General features: G+C 54.2%; 1 protein-coding gene across 1 annotated transcript in view; it reads left to right on the plus strand.

The window, feature by feature from the left end:
- The window catches only part of TMEM132E (transmembrane protein 132E), a 59,737-nt gene extending 45,763 nt beyond the window's left edge, over positions 1–13,974 (plus strand). The window contains exons 2-9 of the mRNA NM_001304438.2: positions 783–1,713; positions 3,219–3,365; positions 3,668–3,860; positions 4,664–4,807; positions 7,360–7,565; positions 9,455–9,743; positions 10,663–10,854; positions 11,833–13,974. Coding sequence (NP_001291367.1) covers positions 783–1,713; positions 3,219–3,365; positions 3,668–3,860; positions 4,664–4,807; positions 7,360–7,565; positions 9,455–9,743; positions 10,663–10,854; positions 11,833–12,888 — 3,158 coding nt within the window. The 3' untranslated portion in view covers positions 12,889–13,974. The remainder of the gene's footprint in view (positions 1–782; positions 1,714–3,218; positions 3,366–3,667; positions 3,861–4,663; positions 4,808–7,359; positions 7,566–9,454; positions 9,744–10,662; positions 10,855–11,832) is intronic.

The raw sequence follows: 27,591 nt of genomic DNA on the forward strand, positions 1-27,591 counted from the left end.
GGCCAAAGGGAGAAGGGAGAGAGCTGGATCCCTGGGGACCCTACACCAGCTGAGAGAGCAGGTACAATACTAAGGAGCTTGGGTTCGAGAGTCAGGGGACCCCAGGTTCAAGTCCCACTGCTGGCCCCTTTGCCCATATAACTTGGTTAAATTATTTAAGTGTCCTGCACCTTAGTTCATTTATCTGTAAGATGTTAGGATTGGCACTCAAAAAGGAAGTTACTGATAGAAAACTGGTCGCGTGGATGGAGATCATAATAAGAGGTACCTCAGAGCATTGATCTGAGGATGAAATACGCTAAGGCCTGTCCCACACGGAGCGCAGTGCAGGATACACAGGGATCACAGGGACTCTTTTCAGCACCAGAGTCCACTCAGCCCTCTATGCGCACGACTTTGAAAGTCCTCACAATGGCACTTTGAGGCAGAAACAATTTTTATACTTGTTTTACAAGTGAGGGCGCTGGGGATAGAACCTCCTGAAGGTTCACAAGGTTTTGCGACGGTATTATCTTTACCCCTATGTCGCAGGTAAATAAATGAAGCGGTGGGTGAGAGGGTAATTCACATACCAGCAAAGGGGGTGCCAGGCTTGGAGCTCTGGGAGCCAGGCCTGAGCCAGGGTTGGGGCCCACCGGAGGATGGACAGCCAGGCTGAACCTGCCCAGCTAGAGGAGTTGGCAGCCCTCTGTGGGGTGGGAGAGACGAGCCTGGGGGCACCCTGGGGTCCCAGCGTGGCCTCTCCTGACCACCCTGGGCCTCTTTCCTCTGTCTGTCCCCAGCCTCTGGCCGCTCCCACCCGGCCAGCCCCAGCCCGCCGGGGCCGCAGGCCAGCCCGGTGCTGCCAGTCAGCTACCGCCTGTCGCACACGCGGCTGGCCTTCTTCCTGCGGGAGGCGCGGCCCCCGTCACCCGCGGTCGCCAACAGCTCTCTGCAGCGCTCCGAGCCCTTCGTGGTGTTCCAGACCAAGGAGCTGCCGGTCCTCAACGTCTCTCTGGGGCCCTTCAGCACCAGCCAGGTGGTGGCGCGGGAGCTCCTGCAGCCGTCCAGCACCCTGGACATCCCCGAGCGCCTGACGGTGAACTGGAAGGTGCGGGCCTTCATCGTCCGCTCGCACGTGCCCGCCTCGCAGCCCGTGGTCCAGGTGCTGTTCTACGTAGCCGGCCGGGACTGGGACGACTTCGGCGTCACCGAGCGGCTGCCCTGTGTCCGCCTGCATGCCTTCCGGGATGCCCGGGAAGTCAAGAGCTCCTGCCGCCTCAGCGGGGGCCTGGCCACTTGTCTGGTGCGGGCAGAGCTGCCCCTGGCCTGGTTCGGGCCCCCAGCCCCCGCTGCGCCACCCACGGCCCGCCGCAAGTCCCCGGACGGGCTGGAGCCCGAGGCGACGGGGGAGAGCCAGCAGGCCGAGCTCTACTACACGCTCCACGCCCCTGATGCGTCGGGGGGCTGCGGGGGCTCCCGCCGGGGGGCCGGGCCCGGGGTGGGGGCCCGAGCGGAAAGCCCTACCCAGCACCCCCTGCTGCGCATCGGGAGCATCAGCCTGTTCCGCCCGCCCCCCAGGAGGACCCTGCAGGAGCACAGGCTGGACAGCAACCTGATGATCCGCCTGCCAGACCGGCCCCTCAAGCCCGGGGAAGTGCTCAGCATCCTCCTCTATCTGGCCCCCAACTCCTCCTCGCCCTCCAGCCCCAGCGTGGAGCACTTCACACTCAGGTAGTAGGGAAGATGGGTGGGGATCTGGTTTCCCTTCCAAGATCAAATGCATACCTGACTCCTTGTGGGTGGGTTGGGGGGTGGGGGGACCTCCCAGCTGTATCCCTGTCCAGCATCCTAATCCCGGATCTGTCACTTAGCACTTGAGCAACCTCAGGAAGATACCTCGCTTATTGGAGCCTCAAGGCTCTTATCTGTCTAATGGCAACAAACATTCCTGCCCCTATTTCTGGATCTCATAGAAATGGCATCATGGTAAAGAGGAAATATCAGTTTCACAAGCATAGATTTCCAGAATAATAGAACTGGGACTAGAAGGGCCCTTAGACATTTTACAGACAAGGAGACTGAGGCCAAGGAAGAGAAATTGGGTCCAGAGAGCAGCCTCTTGGCTGGGAGCCAAAAGAATCGTGTGTGTGTGTGTGTGTGTGTGTGTGTGTGTGTGTGTTTTGGGACATTTGCCCCAGTCCTAGAGTTGGGAGAAAAATTTTCAGAATTCCCAGCTCTTTCTATCCTTCTACACCTTGAAAAGGACACAGTTTGCAAACTCAAAAATGCCTTAAATTGTATCACATCCACCCCAAAAATGATAATATTTCACACTAGGAATCTGTGGTTTGAGTTATGTTGTGTGACTCTGAGGACACCCACCAAAATGCTTCCTCAGCCCCAGGCACTATGCCTTGGACCTGAAACATCACTATAAGCCTGCAGCTTCTTTAAGTATTTCCCTGTCTCCTCAGTGTCCTACCTTCAAGTTTAAATGCTGTCGGAAAGGGTCATGCCTCATTCAGTGATTGATACCTGAATGTGAACATAAGTGAAATCAGTCATCAGAGATCTTGGGCTGCATTAATAGGAGTAGAGCTTGCAGAATTAGAGAGGTGGCAATCACCTTGCTTTAGCCAATGTTCATTGGAGTGCAGCTGAAGTGTCGTATTTAGTATGGGATACTTCACATTTAGTGTCCAGAGGAGTGTGACTGGCTGTGAGGTGATTCAGAACTATGGCAAAAAACAATTGGAGGCACTGAAGGAAAGAAGATTCAGAGAACACCTACTCACCTCGCCAGCTTTTTGAAGAACTACTACAGTTAGGACAGAGGGGAATTGTTCTCTGTTGCCCAGCAGAGCCTGTGGCTGTTTTAGCTCAGCTACATCCAGGGAAGATCTTTCTAGTTTTCTTGGTCTTTCTGAAAATGGAATGGGATGTGTGCAGAAGTAGTGAGTCCCCTGTCACTAAGGTATGCCAGTAGAGATTAGGCAAAGACTTGGCAGGGATACGGTAGAAGGGATTGCAGCTTTCACCGAGGGTCAGAGTTTTCAGCTGTGTGATACCAGATTCCCCAAGTTCATCTGAAACATTCATCTGAAACATCCAGGACTCGGGGTAACTTAGCTTATCTGTTCCCCCTCCCCCCAGTACAGTCTAGTGATGGTGGCCAGGCAGGCAGCTTTGGGCTGTAGCCTGACCCTCTCCCTCTTCTTCCTCCCACTTTGTCCCAGGGTGAAGGCCAAGAAGGGTGTGACCCTTTTAGGTACCAAGTCACGGAGTGGCCAGTGGCATGTGACCTCGGAGCTGCTGACTGGGGCAAAGCACTCAACAGCCACCGTGGATGTGGCCTGGGCTCAGAGCACACCCCTGCCCCCCAGGTGAGCCCGAGGTGGTGCATCTACCCACCTCTTCGCAAAGCAGCCATCTGAGAGGAGTGGGGAATCTTTGAAGGAGGAGGCTAGGCTTGGGGAGGGCTGGGGCTCGGTCATTGGGGTCTCTGAGGTCCAGGCCCCTCAGTGGGATCCTGGGGCTGGAGCACCTCAGATGGGCTGGAGAAGGCCCAGAGGGCCCCATCAGGCAGCTGCCGGGGAGGGGTGGGGTCCCCACTGAGAGTTTCTGAGCTCCTGGGCTGCTCCCAGCCCTTCATCCTCTGCTCTCCTTCCCTCCCCTACCCTGGCAGGGAGGGCCAGGGCCCCTTGGAGATCTTGCAGCTGGACTTTGAAATGGAGAACTTCACCAGCCAGTCAGTCAAGCGGAGGATCATGTGGCACATTGACTACCGTGGCCACGGCGCCCTGCCTGACCTGGAGCGGGCAGTCACTGAGCTGACGGTCATTCAGCGGGATGTGCAAGCCATCCTGCCCCTGGCCATGGTGAGCAGGCAGGTGACCAGCCCAGAAGATGCCTGGGTCTATGCATGTGTGCACATTTGTGTGACAAGAATGTGAACCACTGAGTATATGTACAAATTGACATGTGTGTATATGTGAGACTTCCTGCCATGCCCAGGTATGCCTGTGTGAGAAGGTGCATGCATGTGTTTTATATTTGTCGGGCCATGAGGACAGCAGATGCTCAGGGGGGCAGAGGTGGGAGATGTCACCATGGAGGGACCACTGATGGGAAGTTTGCAGAAGGAGGTAGCAATGCAGTTGAGTCTTGGAGGTCACCTGGGAGGGAGCCTCCCAGAGATGCAGGGTGTGTCCCAGGCAGGGCATTACTTGGGCAAAGGTACAGTAGTGAGAATATGAGTAGTTTGTTCAAAAGAACTATAGATTTAGAAAGAGTGTCATGGAGTGGTAGGGCTGGAATGATTGTCTGGGGCCAGCCCAGGGCAGCTTGAATAGCCAGGCATGTGTTGGATGTTACTGTGTGAGTCCTGAGGAGCCTGGAAGCTGTTTAAGAGGAGATGGCAGGGGCCTGGGGAAGGGTTGTTTCCCGGCAGCACAGTGAGGTGGACCCTGAGGTTCCTGCAAAAGCCCGAGTGAGCAGACCATCTGTCAAGGAGTGCCAGGAGGGGTGGTTGCCTATCCCTGCACACGGGTGCAAGTGTCCCCACTGGAAGGATGTGCATCTGAGGAGTGGGGGGGGAGCGTCCAGGAGCTGGGGCCTTGGCTAGTGTGTCCCAGGACAGAAGGGGACCACAAGTAGAGCCCCCCCCTTCTCCTCCCTGCAGGACACAGAGATCATCAACACGGCCATTCTGACTGGCCGGACAGTGGCCATCCCTGTCAAGGTCATTGCCATCGAGGTGAATGGCCTCGTCCTGGACATCTCCGCCCTAGTGGAATGCGAGTCTGACAATGAAGACATCATCAAGGTGGGCATCCTGGAGGTGGGGCCCCTGGGGAAGAAGCCCTAGGCCTTCAGGAGAGTAGAACCTCAAACCAGAGTCCAGGTGGCTGACTCTTACTCATCCTCTAACACTGAACCCAGGCCTCCCTGTGCTGGGACCCCTTCTGTTGCAGCAGCTGCCCCCACCTTTTCCTCCTACAGCACTGGCCTTACTTCATCCCAAGCTTCACCACACCATTCTGAAAGGGTTGATTCTCAAGTGTACTGACTCCCATGATACTCCCTCTTCCTGCCCCTGGATATTGCTTTGGCCAGTCCTGGAGGGCTTCCTGTAGGAATATGAAACAGACAGTCAGGCCAGAGGGGGAGAAAGCAGTGTCAACAACTTGAAATCAATCTAGCAAGACATTATTGAACCTTGGTGTGTGCAGACACTTGGCAAGGCAGCAGGGGGTGGGTGAGGGAGACAACCCCTCAAAGACCTGCCGTGAACCCAGAGTGCAAGTGATCAGATGAAGGCAATGTAGCTCAGGAAGAAGCCTCAAGAAACATATGAGTTAGGCCAGGCATGAAGGTTGTGTACTGAGGGCCCCACTCCCGGCACACACGCTCCAGCTTCTCCAACTCCTAAAGGCTCCTGTCAGCCGTGAGCTCCCACCCCACCCCTGAGCTCCTTCCCAGGGACCTGCTTTGGCCCCAGGTCCCCCACAGCCCAGCCCACATGACACTCATCTGACTCAATGACCCAGTTTGCCACCTCCCCAAGAGGGCTCCAGATTCCCTCCTTCCCCTGGCTTTGAACAGTGGTCAGAAGTGAGTTGGGAAGAGGAGGCAGTAGAGTGGGCAGTGGTGTGAGCAGATGTCCAGCCCTGGTAACTGTGGGGTGGGCCAGCCACTCACTATGCCACCCTCCAGTAGGCATCAAAATCAGATGGTTAGACAACTGAATTTGTTCTTGCTCCTGTAAATAATTCAGCTTGAAGGAAAGCAGGACAGTTGGAATGCAGATGTCCTTCTCCTCCTTGTCACTTGGGCTCCCTCCTGCTGTCTCTCTCTCTATGCTTTGCCTTTGGGTCCCTCCAAGTCTGGGAAGCATGGGGCTCACCTCATCTATCCATGATCCAGGAAGGATGCCTTCCAAGGGAGCCAGAGTAGATGGTCTGGAACCCCCGCTCCACTGCATCACCCCCTTCAGAGAAGCCTCACCAGAAGCCTGTGAGCTGTCCACTGCTGGAAGACTGGGATGGGAAGAAACAGGCCTGCTCCCAAGGGCCCTCACCCAGCACCTTCTCTGCCACCCAGACTCCCCCATCCCAGCTCCAGAGCAGACCAGAACCAAGGGGTAATCAGAGAAGATTCTAAATGAAATTGGTTACAAATCTTGATGAAATATACTCAGGTCTTTACGGAGTTTGCCACATTCTAAGTGGAATTTACAGGTCTGCGTTGGAATTCTTTGCCTTCCGAGGTGGGAAATGAGCATTTCTGGCAGGGCTGCTGTCCCATCCCTCCACCCACCCCTCTGAGATGATGATGGGAGCTGGCAGCGTTTGGGATGCCCCAGGGGCTCATCTCCATGGATAAACCATAGTCCCAGAGCCCCTGGGTCCTTCCAGAGCCTTCAGGGCATCATCAGCCCACCAGCTGAATGATAGACCTTCCCCCAAACTCAAGACCATGCACCCATGGACGTGCACCAGCATGAGCACCTAGATGCATGTACACACAGGATCCGTTCTGGGGTGCCAGGTGTGTGCGTGGGCATATTTAACACACAGAGCCATCTGCATTTGCCCTAAAGTACTGGCAGTGACACCTCTGTGAGTGGGCACAGGTATCAATGAAGATGTACTCAGCAGGCATGTGGTTTCCATCCAGGGAACCTCTAGGAATGCAAGTCAGTATCCAGGTGGGCAGGCATTTACAACAGCCACATCCATTGGTGGCAGCCATTCACCCGTCTGTGCTTGGGGTTCTAAGGTCCTGAGTTTTCCTCTCCCATTCCCTCATCTCCACACCTGGTTAAGCAGCCCCCCTCACCGGAAATTAACTACCTGCCCATTCTCCTGGGGCAGCCATGCCAGAGAGGCCGTGGAGGACATGGGTCTGCCCCCCATCCCCATCCCCTGCACCTCAACTTCCTCCCTGCCCAGTCAAGTGCCCATGTCCTTTTTCTGCATCATAGAGGACTCTACCTGCCAGACCCCTGGCTCCAGAGCCCCGTCAGTCTTGCTGGGGGAGGGGAGCCAGCCCTGAGAGGCCCTCACCCTGGAGCGTCCTCCAAAGCGTGGCTCTGGCAGGTCAGGAACAGCCCCTGTAAAAGCATTTGCATGTTGGCTCCTTACTAAGGAACAAAATCCTCCCCCAGTGGGCACCAAGAGGTGATCTCAAGAAAGAGCAGAAGCAGTGATAGAAGCCAGGACTCCCAGAGGAATCAGTGCTTCCTTCCACTGGCCTCCTCCCCTTCAGCCTCCTAGGACTTTCCCTCCAGCCCTGGTTGTCAGACTGAAGTCCTCCGCACTGCCTCACAGGAAGACCTGTAGGGAAGATGTGCCAACTGTTCCTCCCTTCCCCCAGGTATCCAGCAGCTGTGACTACGTGTTTGTGAGTGGAAAAGAGTCTCGAGGGTCCATGAACGCCAGGGTCACCTTCCGCTACGACGTCCTCAATGCTCCCCTGGAAATGACAGTCTGGGTCCCCAAGCTGCCCTTGCACATTGAGCTCTCAGATGCCCGCCTCAGCCAAGTGAAGGGCTGGAGGGTACCTATCCTCCCCGACCGGAGGTACAGCCCCTCTCCCATGGCGGATACTTGGGAAACTCATGGGTGGATACAGCCTCGGCCCACAGTCTGATCTGCATATGGGTATAAGGCCCTTGGTATACATAGTCTGTAGGTTGGTTGTGCAGTCAACAAGCTTTCATTGACCAGCTACTGTGTGCTAGGCACTGGCAAGTGTTTGAGAGATGGGGTGAATGTGGCCAGTGCCTGACCCTGCCAGTCTCTCAGTCCAGCAGGGGAGGAAGGCATGTGCATGCCACAGAACATGGTGGTGGGTGGGAAGCCCCGTGTGCAGGGAATCAAGTGGCACAAGGAGAGAACCCCCTCTCCCTCCAGGAGAAGTCAAGGCAGGCTTCCTGGAAGAGACAACTCTTGAGCTAAGTCTTAAAGGATGAACTGAAAGGAGTTGGCTGGGGAGACAGGTTAAGAGACTGCCTGCAGTCAGGCAGACAAAATGAAGCAGACACACCTGTACACATGTGTCCCAGCCTGGGCACACCAAGGGCACACTAGTGAGTGCATGAGTGCAGACACACTGTGACTCATACCCAGGCTCCCTTGCGGGCTTGTAGGCTCAGGCACCTGGGTGCCCATACGTGGGGCACATACATGTGTACTCACCGCATTCCAATCACCCACTCAGAGCTGCTGGAGAGAAAAGCACAGCAGGGAAGAGAAGAGAGGAAAGTGACAGGCAGCTAAGAGCAGGAGGTGGGCGGGGCTGGAGAGGGAAGCAGGTGGTGAGAGAAACAGGTGGCCAAGTGAGAATTGGGCTGAGTTCAACTCAGAGAGATTTGGAAGAGTAAGGTGTGTAGACCAGTGCCTCTCAAACTTTAATGTGTACACGAATCACCTGGGGATCTCAGTAAAATGCAGATTCTGACTGGGCAGGTCTGGGGTAAAGCCTGTGATTCTGCATTTCTCACCAGCTCCTGGGTGATAGCGATACTGCTTTGAGTAGCAAGGATGTAGCGGACTCTGAAGCCAGACAGCCTGGTTTAAGTCCTGCCTCTGCTATTTACTAGCTGTGTAAACTTGGGCTACTTACATAACCACTCTGTGCCTCCATCTCCGTATCTGTAAAATGGGCACAATAACACCTGCCTCATAGGATTTTTGTGAGGAATAAATTAATGAACCCAGGTAAAAGAATGCTCTGTGTGAATGAATATTCTGGTTGCTTGATCCTCCAGTACACTAACAAAGCACTAGCTACAGAGAAAAACACTTGGCTTTCTCACCAAAGCACACCTTCCTGGCAGTAAACCTCTCAATTTTAGCATTTTTTGCAACGTGCACAGGCTGAGAATTTCCCAAATCATCAAGTCCAGGTTCCCTTTTGCTTAACAGTTTATTTATGTGTCTCTCTCCTCTCACATTTGACTAAAAGCAGCAAGAGGAAACCAGGCCACGATTTCCACACCTTGCTTGGAAATCTCCTCAGTTAAATGTCCGAGTTCATCACCTACAGGTCCTGCTTAGTTTCCACACAACTGCAGGACACAATTCAGCTAAGATTTCTGGCATTCTGTAAGAAGGATCACATTTGCTCCAGGTTAGAGCTTAGAACAGTGCCAGGCACAAACTTAGTACTGAAGAAGAGGCAGCAGTTGCTGTTAGGATTTGACGCCAGCTATTCCTAGGCTTGGCTTAAGCCAAGAAGAGGCAGAGAGGGACAGGAGGTAGGGTCAAGAATGTACTTTTCTAGGAGAGAAAAGGCTGGGACTCCTGGTTCCCAACTTAGAGATGGAAGGCATGAGCCATAGAGGAAGCTTGCTTTTGCAGAGCTTCTGGGAAGCTGGGAGGACCCAACAGGGCAAGGGTGCGGGGTGTGTACTGTGCAGGTCAGAGTCCAGGTGAGAAGCCTTCAGCATGGCATGTCCCCACCCCAGGTCAGTCCGGGAAAGCGAGGATGAGGATGAGGAGGAGGAGGAGCGGCGGCAGAGTGCAAGCCGTGGCTGCACCCTGCAGTACCAGCATGCCACCCTGCAGGTCTTCACCCAGTTCCACACGACATCATCCGAGGGCACTGACCAGGTGGTCACCATGTTAGGCCCGGACTGGCTGGTGGAGGTCACCGACCTAGTCAGTGACTTCATGCGGGTGGGCGATCCCCGAGTGGCACACATGGTGGACAGCAGCACGCTGGCAGGACTGGAGCCAGGCACCACCCCCTTTAAGGTAGGTATGGGCTCTGTCCCAGCACAAAGGGGCAGTGTCGGGAGCCTTATTTACCTGTGGGTGCAGAACTCAGATTTTCCTAACCCCAACTGGCCCCCAGAACACTCTTCCCTGCCTGCCCCTTGTCTGAAATTCCAAGGTCAGGCTCTTTTAGCTTCATCTTGGTAAAAGTTCTCACTCCAAGTTGTATCAACCTTTATCAATCCTCAGTGTGGGTGACTCAAGCAGACCCCTCCCTGAGAGCAGAGGGGGAGCAGGTGAGAGTCAGCCAGCCTAGAGTCCAGGAAGGTGCATTTGGTGATCTAGGAACTCAACTTTGACCTTTCCTGACTTGTTTCTACCCTGACAATTGGGTGTCTGGATAGAAATCATCTACCTAAGAAACTGTTGTGATCTGTGGGCTAGAATCTGCCTGCAGACATATCTTCTTTGTAAAACAATTGATCCAATGTGTTTTAAATTGGGAGATTTCTCATTTAAAAAATATATAGAGATTTCTGGTTTCACAAAAAATGAATCTGGTAACAATCAGCTAAAGCCAGTATTGGTGCCTCCTATACACGAGAATGAGTTCCCTCATTTTCTAAGTTGTCGCCACTCCCTTTTGTCTCCCTGACATTGAGGTTGCACATCAATTGCTACTAGTCACCATGCGGGGGTTGTTGTTTTCCTTAGAATTGGCCCACCTCTCTCATTTGTGTTCCCGCCTGGCTCCTGTGAGCCCCCGACCCTCTCATGACCTCTGGACACTGGTTCCTGGTTGCAGACCTGAGGCAGAGCTGCGAAGTCCTGCCTCCCAGCCTGCCTCACCCTTCAGGCCCCTCTTCCAGCAGTGCTGGGATTTCTCCCTAGCTGGGGGTCTTGGGCAGGGGGGTGTGCTTTCCTGGTTCTCTCCCACCCCGGTCCCGCTCTGCCTCAGGTGGTGTCTCCGCTGACGGAGGCTGTGCTCGGGGAGACGCTGCTGACGGTGACTGAGGAGAAGGTCAGCATCACACAGCTTCAGGCCCAGGTGGTGGCCAGCCTGGCCCTCTCCCTGCGGCCCAGCCCTGGGAGCAGCCACACCATCCTAGCCACCACAGCTGCCCAACAGACCTTGAGCTTCCTCAAGCAGGTAACTGGCTCCTTGGCCCACCAGCCAGGGAGTTGGTGGTATGGAAGGAGAACTTGGGGGCTCTGCTTTGCCCTAGCACCAAGAGTCCCCATATTAGGGCTTTAGGAAATGGAGGATCTCTGCCCTCCATGCCCTGCACAACTGCCCACCCTATGGCCACAACATCTACATGGGAGGTCAGAGCAAGGTCTTGCTTGCTGCTCTTGCCACCTGAGATGTTCCCTCTGAGGGTCTCCCTCCTGGATTCACAGAGGGCTGTCACCTCCACATCACCCCCAGGAAGTACCCTCACTCAACTCTGGAGCCCCAAGTATACACCACAGGCATAGCCACAGGATGAAAGTGGAAAGGTGACAGATGAGAGTCCTGGGGAGTGAGGAGGTGACAGGTGAGAGTCCTGGGGAGTGAGGAGGTGAGCATCAAGTGCTGAGCCCGGAGTTAGGACACGGGTCCTCTGTCCCTAACTCACTCCATCACCCCAAGGCAATCACTTCTCTCTGAACCCTGCTTCCTCATCTGGAGGGAGGGCAATCCTCAGAAGGTTTTAGCCAACAGGCAGAAGTGGGGAGGGGGTGTGTATTCTCAACAGCCTGTTGTCTGATGGGGGTAAGCCCAAGGTTAGGCATGGAGATATGGAGCTATTCCAGCAGCAGAAGGGACTTGAATTAGACCCAAGGCAAAACTTACCTTTAGGTTATCCAGGGGAGAAGGGTGAAGTGGACAAGGGCATCCTCAGAGCAGTATGAGGCCTGGATGCCATGGTCTGGGATTTACCCTCCCCACACCCTGTGAGGAGGACTCTCACTTGAACAGTAGTTCCTGAATGCCCGCCACAGGTCACAGGCACAGTTCCAGTGCTGAGAATACAGCAGGGAGCCAGAGACCCGTGGTCCCTGCCCCTACAGAGCCCAGGATCTAGCAGGAAGCCAGCTGAACCAGCTCTTTGACTCCTATCCCCTCCTTCTCCTTCTCCTCCAGGAAGCCCTACTGAGCCTCTGGCTCTCCTACAGTGATGGCACCACAGCCCCACTCTCCCTCTACAGCCCACGAGACTATGGACTGCTAGTGAGCAGCCTGGATGAGCATGTGGCCACTGTGACCCAGGACCGGGCCTTCCCTCTGGTAGTGGCTGAGGCCGAGGGGTCAGGGGAGCTGCTTCGCGCAGAGCTAACCATCGCTGAGAGCTGCCAGAAAACCAAACGCAAGAGTGTGCTCGCCACGACCCCTGTGGGCCTGCGGGTGCACTTTGGGAGGGACGAGGAGGACCCCACTTATGACTACCCGGGCCCCAGCCAACCAGGGCCCGGCGGGGGCGAGGACGAGGCCCGGGGAGCTGGCCCGCCGGGCTCTGCGCTACCCGCACCGGAGGCTCCAGGCCCGGGCACCGCCAGCCCCGTCGTGCCACCCACAGAAGACTTCCTGCCGCTGCCCACCGGCTTCCTGCAGGTGCCACGGGGTCTGACAGACCTGGAGATCGGCATGTACGCGCTGCTGGGCGTCTTCTGCCTCGCCATCCTCGTCTTCCTCATCAACTGCATCGTTTTTGTGCTGCGCTACCGGCACAAGCGCATCCCGCCCGAGGGCCAGACCAGCATGGACCACTCTCACCACTGGGTGTTCCTGGGCAACGGGCAGCCGCTGCGGGTGCAAGGAGAGCTGTCGCCGCCAGCAGGCAACCCGCTGGAAACCGTGCCCGCCTTCTGCCACGGCGACCACCACAGCAGCGGCAGCTCGCAGACCAGCGTCCAGAGCCAGGTGCACGGCAGGGGCGACGGCTCCTCGGGCGGCTCAGCCCGAGACCAAGCCGAGGACCCCGCCAGCTCGCCCACCTCCAAGCGCAAGCGGGTCAAGTTCACCACCTTCACCACGCTGCCGTCAGAGGAGCTGGCCTATGACTCGGTGCCCGCGGGCGAAGAGGACGAGGAGGAGGAAGAGGACCTGGGTTGGGGCTGCCCGGATGTGGCGGGCCCCACGCGGCCCACTGCACCCCCGGACCTGCACAATTACATGCGCAGAATCAAAGAGATTGCATAGAGGCGCCAGCCGGAGTAGCAGGGACCCCCCCCCCCAACGGGGTCAGCTCGGGGTAGGACACAGCCGGGACCCCGGTTCACACTGACTCTGGGCGGCTGAATTGATTTTGTACTCCCTGCCCCTGCAGCTTGGCTCCGTGCGGAGCGGGCCGCCTCAGTGTCTGGGCCTTCCCTCGCCTCACGCCATTACCCTCTTCTGCCCCCTGCAGGTGGAGGGCTCTTCCTCCAGTGGCTCGTAAGGAGGAAAGCAACCCCAGCCTCTGTTCTGCCCTTTCCAAACCTCCTCCCATCTTAAGCAACCCCCTGCCCCAAGAGTGAGGCAAGGAGGTCCAGCTTGGGGTCAGGTGGGCCCACGCTGTGTCCCGGGCCCGCCTCCCGTCCCCCGTGTCGTCCCCCTGTGCAGGGGGTTCTGTGGGGGTCTTGTGTCACAGGCTGCACAAAGACTTTCCTCAAACTAATATTCAGGGATTTCTGTCCTGCAGGGTGGGGAGGTGGCAGCTGCCTGCCCTGCCAAGGATCTTGCTGTGGACGAAATATCTGGGGGTTAGGGGGACAGTTGTAGCATCTGCTGGCATTCGGGTGCCTCCCAGGACCTGGGAGCTGACTCTACAGAGAGGTCTGGTGCCAAGCCAGGCACCTTCCTGAGTTCTCAGGACTCCCACCTCTGCCCCAAGGGCTTTGGGCAGGGACCTAAAGGGGAAAGAGTCCTGGATCCATCTCTAGCCAAATCACACCCCAGAGCCAGAGGCCTGGGGACCTCCTTGCCTTCCCCGTCCCCCACAGCAAGGTCAACACTACTACGCCTTAGCCACCCGTCACCCTGCTGACTGCGACTTCCCTCTGCAGCACAGGGCAGGCAGCCACCTATGCCCCACAAGACGGAACCCGGGAGGGGAGTAGAGGGCACCAGGGAATGCTGTGAGGGACTTCAGGGTGGGCAAATGCAGAAGGGAGCCAGTGTCGCCCCTACCCCATCCCACAGCCATTTTTCTCTCGGGTTCTACCCACCACTGTGTCGGATTTTTCTTAAATAAATGGAAGCGGTCAGACTGGAGGTGGGGGCAGCAGCTCCCATGAACAGAGAGTACATGGTGGCTGGCTCTGTCTCTTCCTTATGTGCATGGGCAAACATACACACATACACAAGCAAGTGCACACATGCACACACACACACTCACACACTGTGGGCACACTACATGACATGAGACCAAAACTCGGCTAGACCAGGCTGTGGTCCCGCTCTTCCTCCCCCAACATGCAGGTCCTTTAAGACCCTCTGGTACTTTGGGATGCCCAGGTCAAGGGATGAAGAATCCGCTGACCCACAAATGTGCCCTTATAAAGAGGTGCTTCCTCTAAGGCTCTGTTCTGATTGGCTCAGGGGAGGGAAGGGCAGGCCTCGGGACTGCAGAGAAAGGTCTTCTGGGGGGCACAGAAAACTAAGGAGAGAGGTGAGAGGGTTGGTGTGCCTACCTGAGTTACTTCAGCTTCCTTCACTGCCCACCTCTCAGAGGTGGCCCTCCCTGTAACCACCTCTCAGGGAATCCTCCCTTCTCTCCCCCTTGCGGCTGATGGAGAAAGCCTGGGGATCTACATGTTAGAAACCAGGCAGGAGAGAGCACAGGCATGTTGGGGTGCCCCTCCCCACCAGTGGGCCGCGGACTAGCTGCATCTTATGCCACACTTGACCTGTGAGTGTGCACACAGCCTGTCATGAGGCCCTGGGAGCCCACACCCCAGCACAGGCAGCAGCCTAGGGGGCACAGGAGCTCAGGCCTGAGAGGGGCAGGAGCTCAGCCAAGGCTACCTGGCCAGCCTCCAGTGCCCATAGACAGGTGGCTCTGGCAGCCACTTTTGGAAAGGAAAGGAACACTAACCAGCATGTGTCCCAGAAGCAGCCAGCAGCAGAACTGGGGCTACACTGGCACCTGCCCAGACATGCTGTTCCCCACTCTGGAAGGAAGCCTGGCCTCCCACAATCATCTGCTCAGCTGATGGTGCAGCCTAGGGTGGTTGTGAGGATTAAATAGGATCATGTATGGAAAGCACTCTGCACAGCTCCCGCAGACAGCATGCCTAGTACAGACAGCTGCGCGTAGAGGATATCAATGAATGGACTTTGGCACAACCAGGTCTTAATTTTCAGGCAAGGCATAGGTCTGAAAGGAAGACTAGAGACTGACCAGCTGTGCCCAAGATACGTTTAGCAACAAAGAACAGGTGCAACTCAGCAGCAAGTAAGGAGCTACCAGAAAGCTGAGCCCAAAGCAGAACCACAGGGGAGCTTGGCGCGGGGGCGGGGGGGGGGTCTCCTTGAGCTCCCAGAACAACAGATATCTGCCATTCAAACACTGCCCTGACTACATACTCCTGGAAGGGTATGGGGGTCTCAGTCATTTTTTAACCCGCTTGTGCTTAACCTGGTGCCTGGAATCAGCAAGTGCTCAACAAATGATTGCCTACCAAATTAAGTCCAAATGCAAACTCTAAATGGCTTTCACATTATCCCATATTGGGGGATTTTGCACACTCTACCACCTTACTTGAGGTTCATCACCTCATCCCCTTGGAGTTCTTATAAGAGAGAGATGAGGAGGGCAGGGATGTGAGTTGAGGAAGAATACCTTACGTTGGGGAAGTGTGCCAGGTGGGGTGGGTTGCTGCTGTGAAACTTGGAACATGGAGCATTTGTTTCTTCAGTGCATTAAGCTCCTGCTACACCCTGGACCCTGATGGGGAGTCTGGGAAGCAAAACTGTGGATCCGTCCTCAAGGAGCCCCCAGCCCCGTAAGGAAGATGGACAAGTCATCTGCCCACTGTCATCTGGGATGATGACAGACCTTTACCCTGGGTTGACAGGGCACAAAGGAGGAGAGGAGAAGACAACTGAAGCTGAGTTTGCTGAGGACAAGGCCAGGGACAGTCCGGTAAGGAGGACAGAAGTTACAGACTCCACACCCTGTGTTTTGCTGCCTGACTTTGCACTTGCTTTCCCTATGCCTGGAACATGAGTCCCTGGTGAGAGGGGAAGCACAGAAAACACACATGCAAAGGCGCAGAGACCAGAGAGGGTGATCGGTCCAGCAAGGATGGGAATCAGGCTCAGACATGAGGTTTAGCTCTTGTGAAGGAAGGAATGATGGAGGGGAAAGAGGATCGGTTAAGAGGATGCTGCAGCAGAAAGCATGAGGCCCTGAGCCAGAGCAGTAGGTACAGAGAGCTGGGAGCAAACTGGTATTCGGCTGCAGAATTCGGCAACTATACATCCCACACAGGGACGATGAGGAGGAGACATGAGCTGCTTGGCTGCAGAGATCTCTTTCCCAGATAAGCTTCGGAGACCAGGCCACCCCAAGGAGAAAAGTGGAATGCTTTTTGCAGGCACCCAGGGTTTCACAAACAGGGAGACGAGGACCTAGAGAGGAGGAGCAATTGGCCCAAAGGCACACAACAAACTCGGAACAGAGCCAGAGCCATGCCTGCTGCCCTGTCCTGTAATTTGTGTCCCTCTCTCCTCATCCCTCACCCCCTGTCCAAATGCGAGAACTCAGAAGCAATTGCAAGAAACGCCAACTCCTGACCCTCGTGGAGTTCAAGCGGGAGCCGGCTTGGTGGGAATGCAGCAGGACATTTAGTTAACAGCCCCTCTGGAATGGCCCCGGTCCTTGCACTCCTCTTTAAAAATTTGTCTTCAACCCCGAAAACGAATCGAGGGACCTTGTAAAGAATAGTTATTGACAAGAGAGCTGCTCAGGGAGCACCAGGGAGCCAGGCCCATGAATCAGTTCGCTAGCAAAATGAGATTTCTCAGACAGCCAGGGCTGGTGAAGGCAGACCAGGAGATTCAGAGGAACCGCCCGGAGCCCACCCTGCCCCAGCCCCAGCCCCACGCTTCCCACTGTCCTCTCCACACCAGCCCTGGACGCTTCTCCATGCTTGTCTTTAACAAACACTAACTTCAGTTCAGTGTGCTCCCCTTAACAGAAGGCTTCAGGGAGTGGGGGGTGGGAAGTGGGGTTGGAGCCCAGTTGAGAAAATGGAAAACACAATAAGTAGGCTAGAGAAGGAAACTCTCATTTGAAGGGTCAAAATGTTCTAAGATAGGTTGGCAGGGACTCCTGGAGTCTGACAGTGCATTTGCCAGGTGACCTTTAGCCAATATGTCACTATTTCTGAGCCCTGGTGTCCCCATATGTAAAAACATGGGAATCACCACTTCTAGGCAGTGTCCACTGGCCTCCCTGAAGAGGTCCTGCTATTCCAACACTTGTATTTCTTTTTTTCTCTTTTTTTATTTTTCCTTTTATTTATTTATTTATTTTTGAGACAGAGTCTCGCTCTGTCACCCAGGTTGGAGTATAGTGGCACAATCACAGCGTGCTGCAGCCTGGACATCCTGGGCTCAGGCGATCCTCCTGCCTTAGCCTCCCGAGTAGCTGGGACTACAGGTGTGCACCACCACTCCCAGCTACATTTTTGTTTTTTATATTTTGTAGAGATGGCATCTTACCATGTTAACCAGGCTGGTCTTGAGATCCTAGCTTCAAGCAATCCTCCTGCTTCACCCTCCCAAAGTGCTGGGATTATAGGTGTGAGCCACCCTGGCAACACTCGTATTTCTAACAAGAGTCGTGGAAGATAGGAATTATGGCTATTTTATAGATAAGGAGGCAAGCACACAAAGAGGGCAAGTAACGTGCCTTCAGCTTAGAAGTGACCTGGCGGGCAGCTCCAAACCTACCTGCTTTCTGCTACATCCGGAGGCAACTGATGATGTTGGAAAGTGAAGGGAATGAGGTTGGAGAGATTTTTAAGTGGGAGAAGAAGAGGGAAGGGTCTCTAAGGATTTGATGTTCTCAATAGTGGGGTCTAGGCTGTGGGACCCCCATTTAAGTCACAGATTGTGGATAGTGTTGGGGCAGATGGAAGACTATGAATATGCCACAGATGCTTGGCCTCTGCCATTGCTGGAGGAACCAGACTCCCTCCTCCACTGGGAACTCCATCCCTAGCTGACTATCACAGCAGACAACCATCAACTCCTGAAAGCAGAGAACCACCAGACCTTCCTGAGCAAGGTACCGAGCTGAGCTTGTTTGGAGAGCTGGTGGCACAAGCAGAGATGCCTCATGTAAGGAGATGGGCATAAGCCAGCACCTGCCCTTTCCCTTGGGATACTGTCTGCTCCTTCAGCCTCTCGGGCTAAGCAAGAGAAACTGGGAAGTGGAAGCCATCCCCTATGGCCCTCATCCTTGCCACATCGGCTCAGTGAATGTTTATTATACCCTTGCCACAGATCTGACAGAGTAGTGAGCACAGAGGAAGTAGGAGTATTAAATAACCGCTGGCATTCACTGAGAGCTCATTACCTACTAACCACTGTATAGCCATCATTTTATTGACCCCTCACAATAACCAAGTAAGGTAGGTATTATTATTATGCCCATTTTACAGATGATGAAATTGAGGCTCAGAGAAGAGAAGTTACATGACTTGTCTCATGCCACCCAGCAAATAAATAGTAGAGGCAGGGATTCAATCCCAGGTTATAATAGCTCCAAGTTCTAAAGTCTCCCTGCTGCTCCACACTGTCCTCCTCAGTGGAGTCTGGCAGTTCAGAGAATCATTCTGATGCAGTGGCAAGAGTGCTAGGCTGGATTACAGGGGCTTAGTGGGGTTCTCACTCTGGCATTGACTGGTCATGTGGCCACGAGTCTGGTACCACCCACATCTGGAGCAAGCCAAGACCCTCAACAAGAGGCCAGGAGCCAGATGGTCCCTCCAGTGCTGTCCCTTCCGTCTTGATGGTTCTTGGGTCTCATGGTATGAAGCCTGGGCACACCCCGATCTGCCAGTTCACACCCTCCCTTCATCCATCCTCTTGGACAGTTGTTGTGTGGTGGGAGGTGGCAGAGGTGGGCAGTAACAAGCTTCAGGGGTCCCCAGCTATTCTCCAAGCTTTGCCAGCTCCGCCATCCTCTATATGGTGCTGCCATTGGCAGGTGCTCCTGTGGGTTTGGGGTTTGCTGTGTCGGAGGAGGCTGGGCATTGTGAAGGAGAAAGGGAGGATGGGAATGGTAACTACCCCTTTGCTGTGTGTGCTAGAGAGGCACTGAGTCTCAGGGTTAAGACAGAGCTGGAAATTTCAAGTCGTCTATCCTCTGCCCACAAGGAGTGCTCAGGCGAAAGAAGAGAAAAAGGATCTGTCCTACAGCAGCTCCCAGGATAAGGGAGAAAACAAGACACTGGCCCATGAAGAATACCCAGTCTGATGGGGGAGACTAGTCATACCATGAAGAAATGATGTCAGGCATTCAGGGAAATATACAAATAAGTGCAAAGTAACCTATGCATGTAATTTGAGAAGAGGAAATGGAGCAAATGCAGAAGCCAGGCAGTTCATCAGAGAGGTAGCCTGGAGAAGGGTGGAAATGGTGTGAGGAGAGGTACTAGAATGGGCCCACCAGATGGCTGGGATGTCAAAAACAAGCTGAGGATTAGGAGCAGGGATGCATTTAGCCTGACTGGAGGGATGGAGTCTTGGGGGCCTGGCTGAGAGGAGGAGTGGGTGCGAGGAGGCGGAAGAGGTGACCCTCCCTCAGATCTCAGAGTCTGGAGCAGCCCTGGGCACCTCCAGTCACAGTGTGAACTTTCCTGGGTCTCTGCCCTCCTGTGAGATGGGTCTGGACTAAATGTTCTCTGAGTGTCCTCCCCATTCAGGGCCCAACCATAACTTGTCTGCAAAGCGGGTTCAAGCATCACCATCACCAGTGTCTAACAGCCCTCCCTGGCCACTGAGCAGGGCTGGAGCACAGAGGGGGCCTCAGCCCCCTATGTTAATCCCAGCTCTGGAGCATGAGGCAGACAGCTGCAGAGTCCCCTGAGGATGAGGCCAGCAGAATTAGAGCCTTGTCTCTGCCACCGCCTTCTTGTGTGACCTCAGGCAGCCCCTGCAGCCCTCTTTGGGCCCCACTGTGGGGCTGGAAGGGCCCTTTCCCTCTTGACCTTCTGCAATTCTAGAATGGCTTTCTTTCTCCTCCATTACAAACATTTCCAACAGCCCTCCTGTGGTTCCCATGGGACAGGGGCACTGGGCTGCTTCCACAGCTTCTGCAAGGTGGGAGGTGAGGGAAGCTGCCAGCGAGGAGAGTTGACAGGGAACAAAGGAAAAGTGGGCATGTCCTGGGAGCCAGCCTTCATGCCTTCATCTGTAGCAGAGCTGTATGGCCCAATCTCTGCCCTGAGGGTTGACCCCACCTGACAGACCCTTCCACATCCAGACACAGAAGAGGGGAAGGGGAGAGAGGGCAGAAGGGAGCTTAGAAGGTTGAAGATGGTGGAAAGTGGCAAGGGAAGGGTCCCTCTTTCCTGCCTCTGCCCTCCTCACTACCCGCCACCTCCATCTCAATGCACTCTGCCACTCCAAGAAGCAGAGAGCCCAGCCCACCCCTCCCCTGGTGGGGTGCAATTCATCAACATTGACGGGAGCCTGGAAGATATCAGGGGAGGGCCCTCCTGAGCCCACCCTCTCTACACATAGACACACTTGGCCACAAAGTGCTCCTTCCAAAGTCCCTCCCTCTCTAGGCTCAGTTCCAGAATTATCCCTTGTGGGATGGCATTCTGCCAAGGAAAGGGCAGGCCCCATAGGGGTGGGAGAGCTAGAATCTTGTTAGCCCACTGGGCAGGGATCACATATCCCAGCGATTGGGGAGAGAGGAGAGGAGAAGGAGGAAATAATGCTCCAGCAGCTGCAGATCCTCGAGATCTTTAGTGATGCCAGGGCCACAGGGCGACCCTCCACCCCAGAAAACCCCACTCCAGGAAGACACGGCAAAACATCAATCACACCTGGTGACAAAAGTGCAGCCATTGTCAGGAGACAGGAGATGGGCTCTGTGGGCACTGGGCACACAGGGCACACGAATGCACACACACTCCCTGCATGCTCACAGGGCACACATTGTAAAGGCACACTCTCTAAGCACTCTGCTCACACACTCGCCACACTCACAGGGTGCAAACATGCAGGCACACGTACGCACACCCACCACACATGCGCACTTGCATGTATGCATGTGTACCCTGGCTATTGGAGCCACACAGCTCTAGTACAGTAATAACCAGAGGCAGCTAATGGGAAGGCGGAGGTCACAGGGGTGGCTGCCAAACTCAGGCGTGGGCCCAATGGAGAGGGGCTGGAGTAAAGAGAGCAGCCCTCCAGACTCTAGTGTACCCATGGGGTCTCTGCAGAGGGGAACTGCTGCCCATCTGTGTAAATGGCCTTCAGAGGTCCTTACTGGAATAAGAGCTTCTCAGACGGAGGGGTGACCAGGAGCATATCTACTCCATACTTAAAATAATACATAAATAGTCTCATGGCACTCAGAAGAATAGCCATTTGCATGCAAGCCAACAACTGAGTTAATGACAAAGATTCTTATCTGTTCATTAAAGCAGACTAGCGGGCTCTCTATGTGAAAACACTTTGCAGTTAAAGGGACTATGTTATTAACTCTCATGAAATGATTTATTTGGAGCTGATGCCAGGTGAGTTGCAACCTGGGAACAGAGGCCCTCATTCAGGGGTGCCCCTGGACTTCTGGGAGGAAAGGGACAGAGATCCTGGAGAGATGATTAAAACCCTTCCTGTGGATGGAGAGAGGCCTGTCGGAGGCTGGCTGGGACAAAAGGGCACCTCATGCGATTCAGGTTCCATCTGGCCTGGCCGTGGAAGGCAGCAGAATTGATTTCTCCCTGAGCTTCAGTTCTCTGTCTATGAAATGGGGATAAAATAGCACCTACCTCATAGGGTTCTTGTAAGGAATAAATGAGTTATTGCCTGTGAATAACAGAAAATGTCTGGCCCACATCTCACCTCAGTAAATGCAAGCTATTATTTTATCATTTTCCAAAGAAAGATGAATTTTCTAAAGGGATGTGACAGGGAGATCTGATCTGATCCTCCATCTGATACTCTAATTTTTAAAACATTTTTCATTTTTTGGTTTGGTGTTTAGAGTCAGGACTTCCTTCTTGAACTAAGTCAGCTCTCAGGGGTACTTTTGAGAAGATGTTAGAAGTACCCCAAAGAAAGATATTGATGTTTTGCTAATTTGGGGCAGGAGGAGTTCAAGCCATCAGTTTGACAATTCAAAAAAGAGCTTACTCTAAAGTGGTGTCAAGGGTAGCTACATTTAAAGCATCCTTCAAGACGGGTTTTTTCCTGGAATTACTCTAAAATAAGGGGTCTGAACTGAATCTTTCGTGTAGAGGGGAGGAGGCACAACAAATTAATCTTCTTTGTCCAGGCGACACTAACTGGGGATAGGAATGCTTAGGCGGGGCAGGCCCTGGACACTCAGCTATAGAACCAGGCCTTCGGCTAAGGCAGGCCAGGGAGCTTACAGGCCCTGCACAGCCCCACTCCCACTCCTCAGTCAGGCACAGAACTCCAAGGACCATGGTGGGCCTCAGCTTCTAGCCCAGCAGAGATGTCTATCTGCAGGGTGGAGATAAGGCCTGGGCCCTGCAGCAGGGAGCTTATCACAGCCAGCCTTTCTCTGGGCTGTGTTCACAAGCTGGCTGGCTGCCACCTCTCCCCACTCCATCCTTCCATTCCTCTCCTCTTCCAAGACCTGCATCTTAGTCCCCCTGAAGGGGCTGTGCACTGGGACAGGGACTACCAGACACACCAGCCTGGGCCCCTTCCAGAGGAAAGAGCTTCTGCAGTCGGGGCAACCAGGGCAAGAGAAGAGAGAGGAGCCTATACCCTTTTCAGAGCTGGGTATCACCAGGAATTGCCACTGTCTCTGATGGCAGGGAGTCTCTTTCCATGGCAAGACACCACCTGGGAGGAGCATGCCTCATCCATGGGCCTCATCTGCAAATGCTTACTCCTTGGTATTGATGCAGCGCAGGTGAGCCCAAAACTGGGGCTTAGCCCTGGAGGGTTCTTGGCTTTGCCCAGGAAAGAATTCAAGGGTGGGTCAGTAGTGTTAGACAGTGACTTTTACTGAAGCGGCAGAGGTACTGCTCTTTGCCAAGCAGGGCGACCCCATAGGCAGTGTGCCCAGAGTAGCAGCTCCAAGGCAGGGTGGCAGTCATATTTATACCCACTATTAATTATATGCAAATTAAGGGCAGGATAATGCAGAAATTTCTAGAAAAAGGATGGTAACTTCCAGGGCATTGGGTCGTTGCCACGAAAAGAGGCAGTAACTTCTGGGTGTTGCCATGGCAATGGTAAACTGGCAAGGCACACTGGTGGGCATGTCTTATGGAAAGGTGCCTCCCTTTCCACCATGCCAGTTCACCACCTCCTCCCCTCCCCATCCCTGTTTTAGCTAGCCTCAATTCAGTCCAGTGTCCGAGCCCCACCTCCAGAGTCAAGTCCCACCTCCTACCTCAGGATGATGAGCCTCCTGGGAGGGCTGCAGTCCCTGGTCTTGGGGGTGTCCACCTGTATGTTCAAGGAGATGCACAGACTTTGGCTGAGGCTGCCAGATCCCAGGGCAGGACCCAAAAGCTGTCTTCTGTTTGTCTCCTCCCAGACCCATTGGCCTCTGAAGTCAGTGTTGTGGAAACTCACATCCTGAAGATTTGATCCAGGACTGGAGGACCAGTGGGAAAAGCCAGTGATCCGATTCTTGCTTGGCTATCCCCTCCTCAGAGGGCCCTTCTCTGACCCCTCTACCCAAAATAGCAGCCCTGAGTCACTCTCCATCCCTCCAGCTTGTGCCCTTGTCCTGCCTGCACCCACCCCCACCTGACACCCGATTTTGTTAAATGCTGTGTGTCTCCCCCACTAGGATGAAGGGCTCCATGAGGACGGAAGCCTTGTTTTAGTCAACACTGTATCCCTGCATCTGGCTCAGGGCATGGCACACAGAAGGAGCTTCATACGTGTGTTTAATTCTGAGTTGGCGGGGATGTGAGAAGGGGCAGAGGCTTCACTCACAGGGAGCTGGATGGCCCACTGAGCATCACAGGCTGGCATGCACCATCAGTGAGCATCTCCCTCTCAGGTGGAAAGGGAGCCCAACATAGTAAGTTCCTGGGGCCCAAGGCCTCCAGCCCAGCATGCCAGTTTCATCCTGGGTTGCCCTGGGCCTGTGAGGTAGCTGAGAGGACTCCCAGGCTGAGGCGGGCCCACCACCCCATCACCAACAATCTGATGACAGTCAGCCATTAGCTGGGGGTAGTGGGAGAACGGTGGGGTGGGAGACTCACAGGCAGGGACTCTTCCCTGGTCAGAAACACTGGGAAGGGAGGGCATGGCCGAGGGGAGGGCATTGGTTATGGAGTCTGAATTCAAACCCTGGAGAAGGGCTCTAACTGGAGGTTTGTGAAGGACATCAGGGAGTCCACAGCCCCCTGAAATGATTCACAAAGGGAATGTGGGTGTGCACACTTGCACACTGACTTTTCTGAATTTGATTCATTTCTCTAAGTGGCCTTGACACTGAACATATTGAAAACTTGAGGTAAGGTATAGAACTGTACTTAAGTCACAGCCCAGGCCCTCCTAACCCCTAATCCCCGCTCCAGGGTCCCAACTGGAATCCCGCCCTAGGTCACACCTGAAGGGGGATCCTTTTAACGTAAACAAGGCCACTCGCTTGCCTCAGCAGGCAGTGGAAGTTACCACCAAAATAAAGTGAAATAAAATCTCTAACCCCAACTAGCCCATAATGCATTCCCAGACAATGTGGATATGAATTGGAGCATGACGATTCTGTTTGGGATACTCTGTACTCCCCGTCCTTCTGCTGGAAGGAAATGAATGTGCAACAGCTTAATTTATCCTTCGCTGGGAAGCCATGGAGGCTGGGAGGCAGCTCCTGTGAGGTCCAATCAACCCTGTAGAGGATTCCTGCTTATCCTAACCTGCCCACAACCCACAGTCTCTGGGCAGGCGTGGCAGGAGCCGAGCTCTACACCCAGACTGGGAGAACCCCTGCCTTTGATTGCTCAGACTCAGCCTCCTGTAAAAAGACCTGGACGACCTTCTCACCCAGACAGCTTTCCAGGGGTTGGGGGCGGGGCAGGGAAGGAATGAAGTCTGATGGGCAAATAGATGGGGAAGGCTTTAGTAAGGGTTCAAAACTTTCTTCTGGACAACATAAGGAGAACTCATGCTGGCAAGAGGAGAAATCTAGACCCCCAGAAAAGACCCAGGGGCAAGAGGGGCCTGGGAAATTTTAGAAAATCACAAGGATTGTCCCACTGAGCTCAGTGAGCAAGCTGGGAATGGCAGGAGAGGAGAGACAGGGCAGGTAGGCAAGGCAGTCCTAAGGGTCTGGACTTTATCCTGACCCAGAGTGTACCAGGAGAGACTTTTCCAAAGGGAGTGGCTCAAGAAGATTAGACCAATAGGTTTTAGAACAACAGATATGATGCAGGAGAAAGGTGGAAGGACAGGGACTAAATGAGATGAAGCTATGCTAGGTGTTAACTGAAGCCAGGAATGGAAATACTTTCCCAAACGGCTTTTTCAGGATTCCCAAATCCCTCATTTCAATTCCTCAACAAGATTTCCTGACATGCAGGCTTCCAAGATTCGCTGTGCCCTGGGACAGACATGTCATCTAGCAAGAAGAAAGGACTTTGAAGTTCAACAGGGTTGGATTTGAATCTTGGTTCTTCACCTTATTTCTTGCATGTGACTTTGAGTCAGTATCTGTTACCTAATCTGTAAAATGGGGGTGAAGTTGACTTTTTCTAAAGATGGTTGTGGAGATCAGTGATCTTTTCCATACAGTCTAAGGCACATAATAAGTGCTCAATAAACAGTGAACATGAGTACTTTGTCTTTAAATTCCTAGCATGTGCTTGTTAGTCTGGAATCACCAATCCCTAGTACCGGGAGGAATCCATTCCAATATTGGAAGAAACAAGACCCAGAGCAGTAGAGTGACTTTTCCAAAGTCCTAGAGTTTTATTAATAAAGGGGCTGGGATTCAAATCCAGCTCTCCTAACCACTGTTCCATCTTCCATCTTCCCAGTAGTCTCACTCTTGGGCAGACTTGGCCTTTGGGTGCTTCAGGGAAATGACCACCCTTCATCATGCTTTAAGACTGTGAGGATGTCAGGTCTGTAGCCAATGCCTTCTCTTCGCCTCTCCCCAGATCACAGCCTCATCATCTCCCTGCCTGGGAGCATCTGTTTCCAAGTGCCCTCAATGCCCCCAGGCCTGGAGGAGCAGAACGGGGCTGGGACTGCGCAGTGGCGTGGGCGGATCTTGGGGGAGGGAAAGGGCTGCACCGAGGAAGGGAGAGATGCTAAATGTTCGCCCTGTCACCACTCTCTCCCCTGGGCCCCAGCGCAGGGCTGAGGGATGGGCCTGTGCTCTGTCAGCAGCCCCGGTCCACGATGGATGTGGAACCTGGGAGGATGGTGTCAGCAGCACTTGGTGAGATTCATTTCCCCACTGCTATGGGAGAAAAATGTGGCCTTCGTGTCATCCATCTGCTCCGCAGCGAAGTGGTAAACAGGCAAGCCTTGCAGAGAGCAGCCTGGAGCCCAGCCCAGCTCGCAGTCTTCCTACAGGGCTGGGAGGCTGGGACAAAGCACTGTATCCACGTCCCTGGGCCCACGATGGCAGGGCTTCTTGGGGAGGACCCACTAGCTGGGAGCCTTTGGCGCTGCCACATGCACCTCCAAGAACCAAAAGTTAGAAAGTCAGGTGAGCCATCATTCCATATCCAATTCATTCTCACCTCTCAGGTGGTTCCGGAGAAAAATGGCTGGGATCCCCTGAGGTTCCCGAAGCCAGCCCCTCTGCTCAGGCTGTTTCTCTCTCCGCATCAGTCTTGGAATCCTTCCCATGACCAGCCCACAAGTCACTTCCTCCAGGAGCCGTCCCAGATCCTCCCAGCCTGATCTCAGTGTTCCTAGTGGTTCTCTTACCTTTGGATTGGGCTTTAGGTAGTTGAATAGCTTTTATCCCACCTCCACCCCCCAGAGACATTTCTGAACTGCCTCCCTGTCAGCTTCACTGATAGCGAGTTATCTGCATTCCAGCTCAATCAAGGACTGGGCTGGAACACAAAGAAAGCCAAAGTTCACCCTTTCGCCCCAAATCAGAGGCCGCCTCCTAGAAGACTGTATCAAATACTCTTGTCAAATAAATGCGTTGTGCTTCCAGGAAAGCAACTAGGACGCCTCCAGGGGAGTTGACTCCCCCATCTCCTGACACTCCCCATCACCTCCTCCCTTCCCCACCATCACGCCTTTCTATAAAACCTTTCTCAAGTCCTTGCCAACAGTCCCTCCATCTATTCTCTGCAATGTCAAAGCACTTTCATGCCTGCTTGCCCTCTTGTTCTCAGGCCTCACTGACTAAGTTGGTTGCTGCTGTGATGATTTCCCATCTTACAGATGGGGAAACTGAGGCCAGTGCAGAGATGAGTCTTTCCCTAAGTGACAAGAAGGCAACACAAGGATTAGGACTGGATGGATTCAATTAAAAGCCTCAGAAGCAGTCCCTTTCCACATTTTTAATGTTCCCAGCACCAGCATAAGGCCCCTGCTGGATCTTTTACTCTGTTTCCCCACCCCTTGTTCTCCCCAGGATAATGACGACACCCTCTTACCCAGCCTCCCTGCCCGGCTCTCCCCATGTACAGCCTTTAGCTGCAGAGCCATCTTTCTAATCTGTCTCTGATCCTGTCACCCCTCAAGGAGGCTGCCTTTCTCCCT

Source organism: Homo sapiens, chromosome 17 (assembly GCF_000001405.40).
Source record: "Homo sapiens chromosome 17, GRCh38.p14 Primary Assembly".
NCBI lineage: Eukaryota > Metazoa > Chordata > Mammalia > Primates > Hominidae > Homo > Homo sapiens.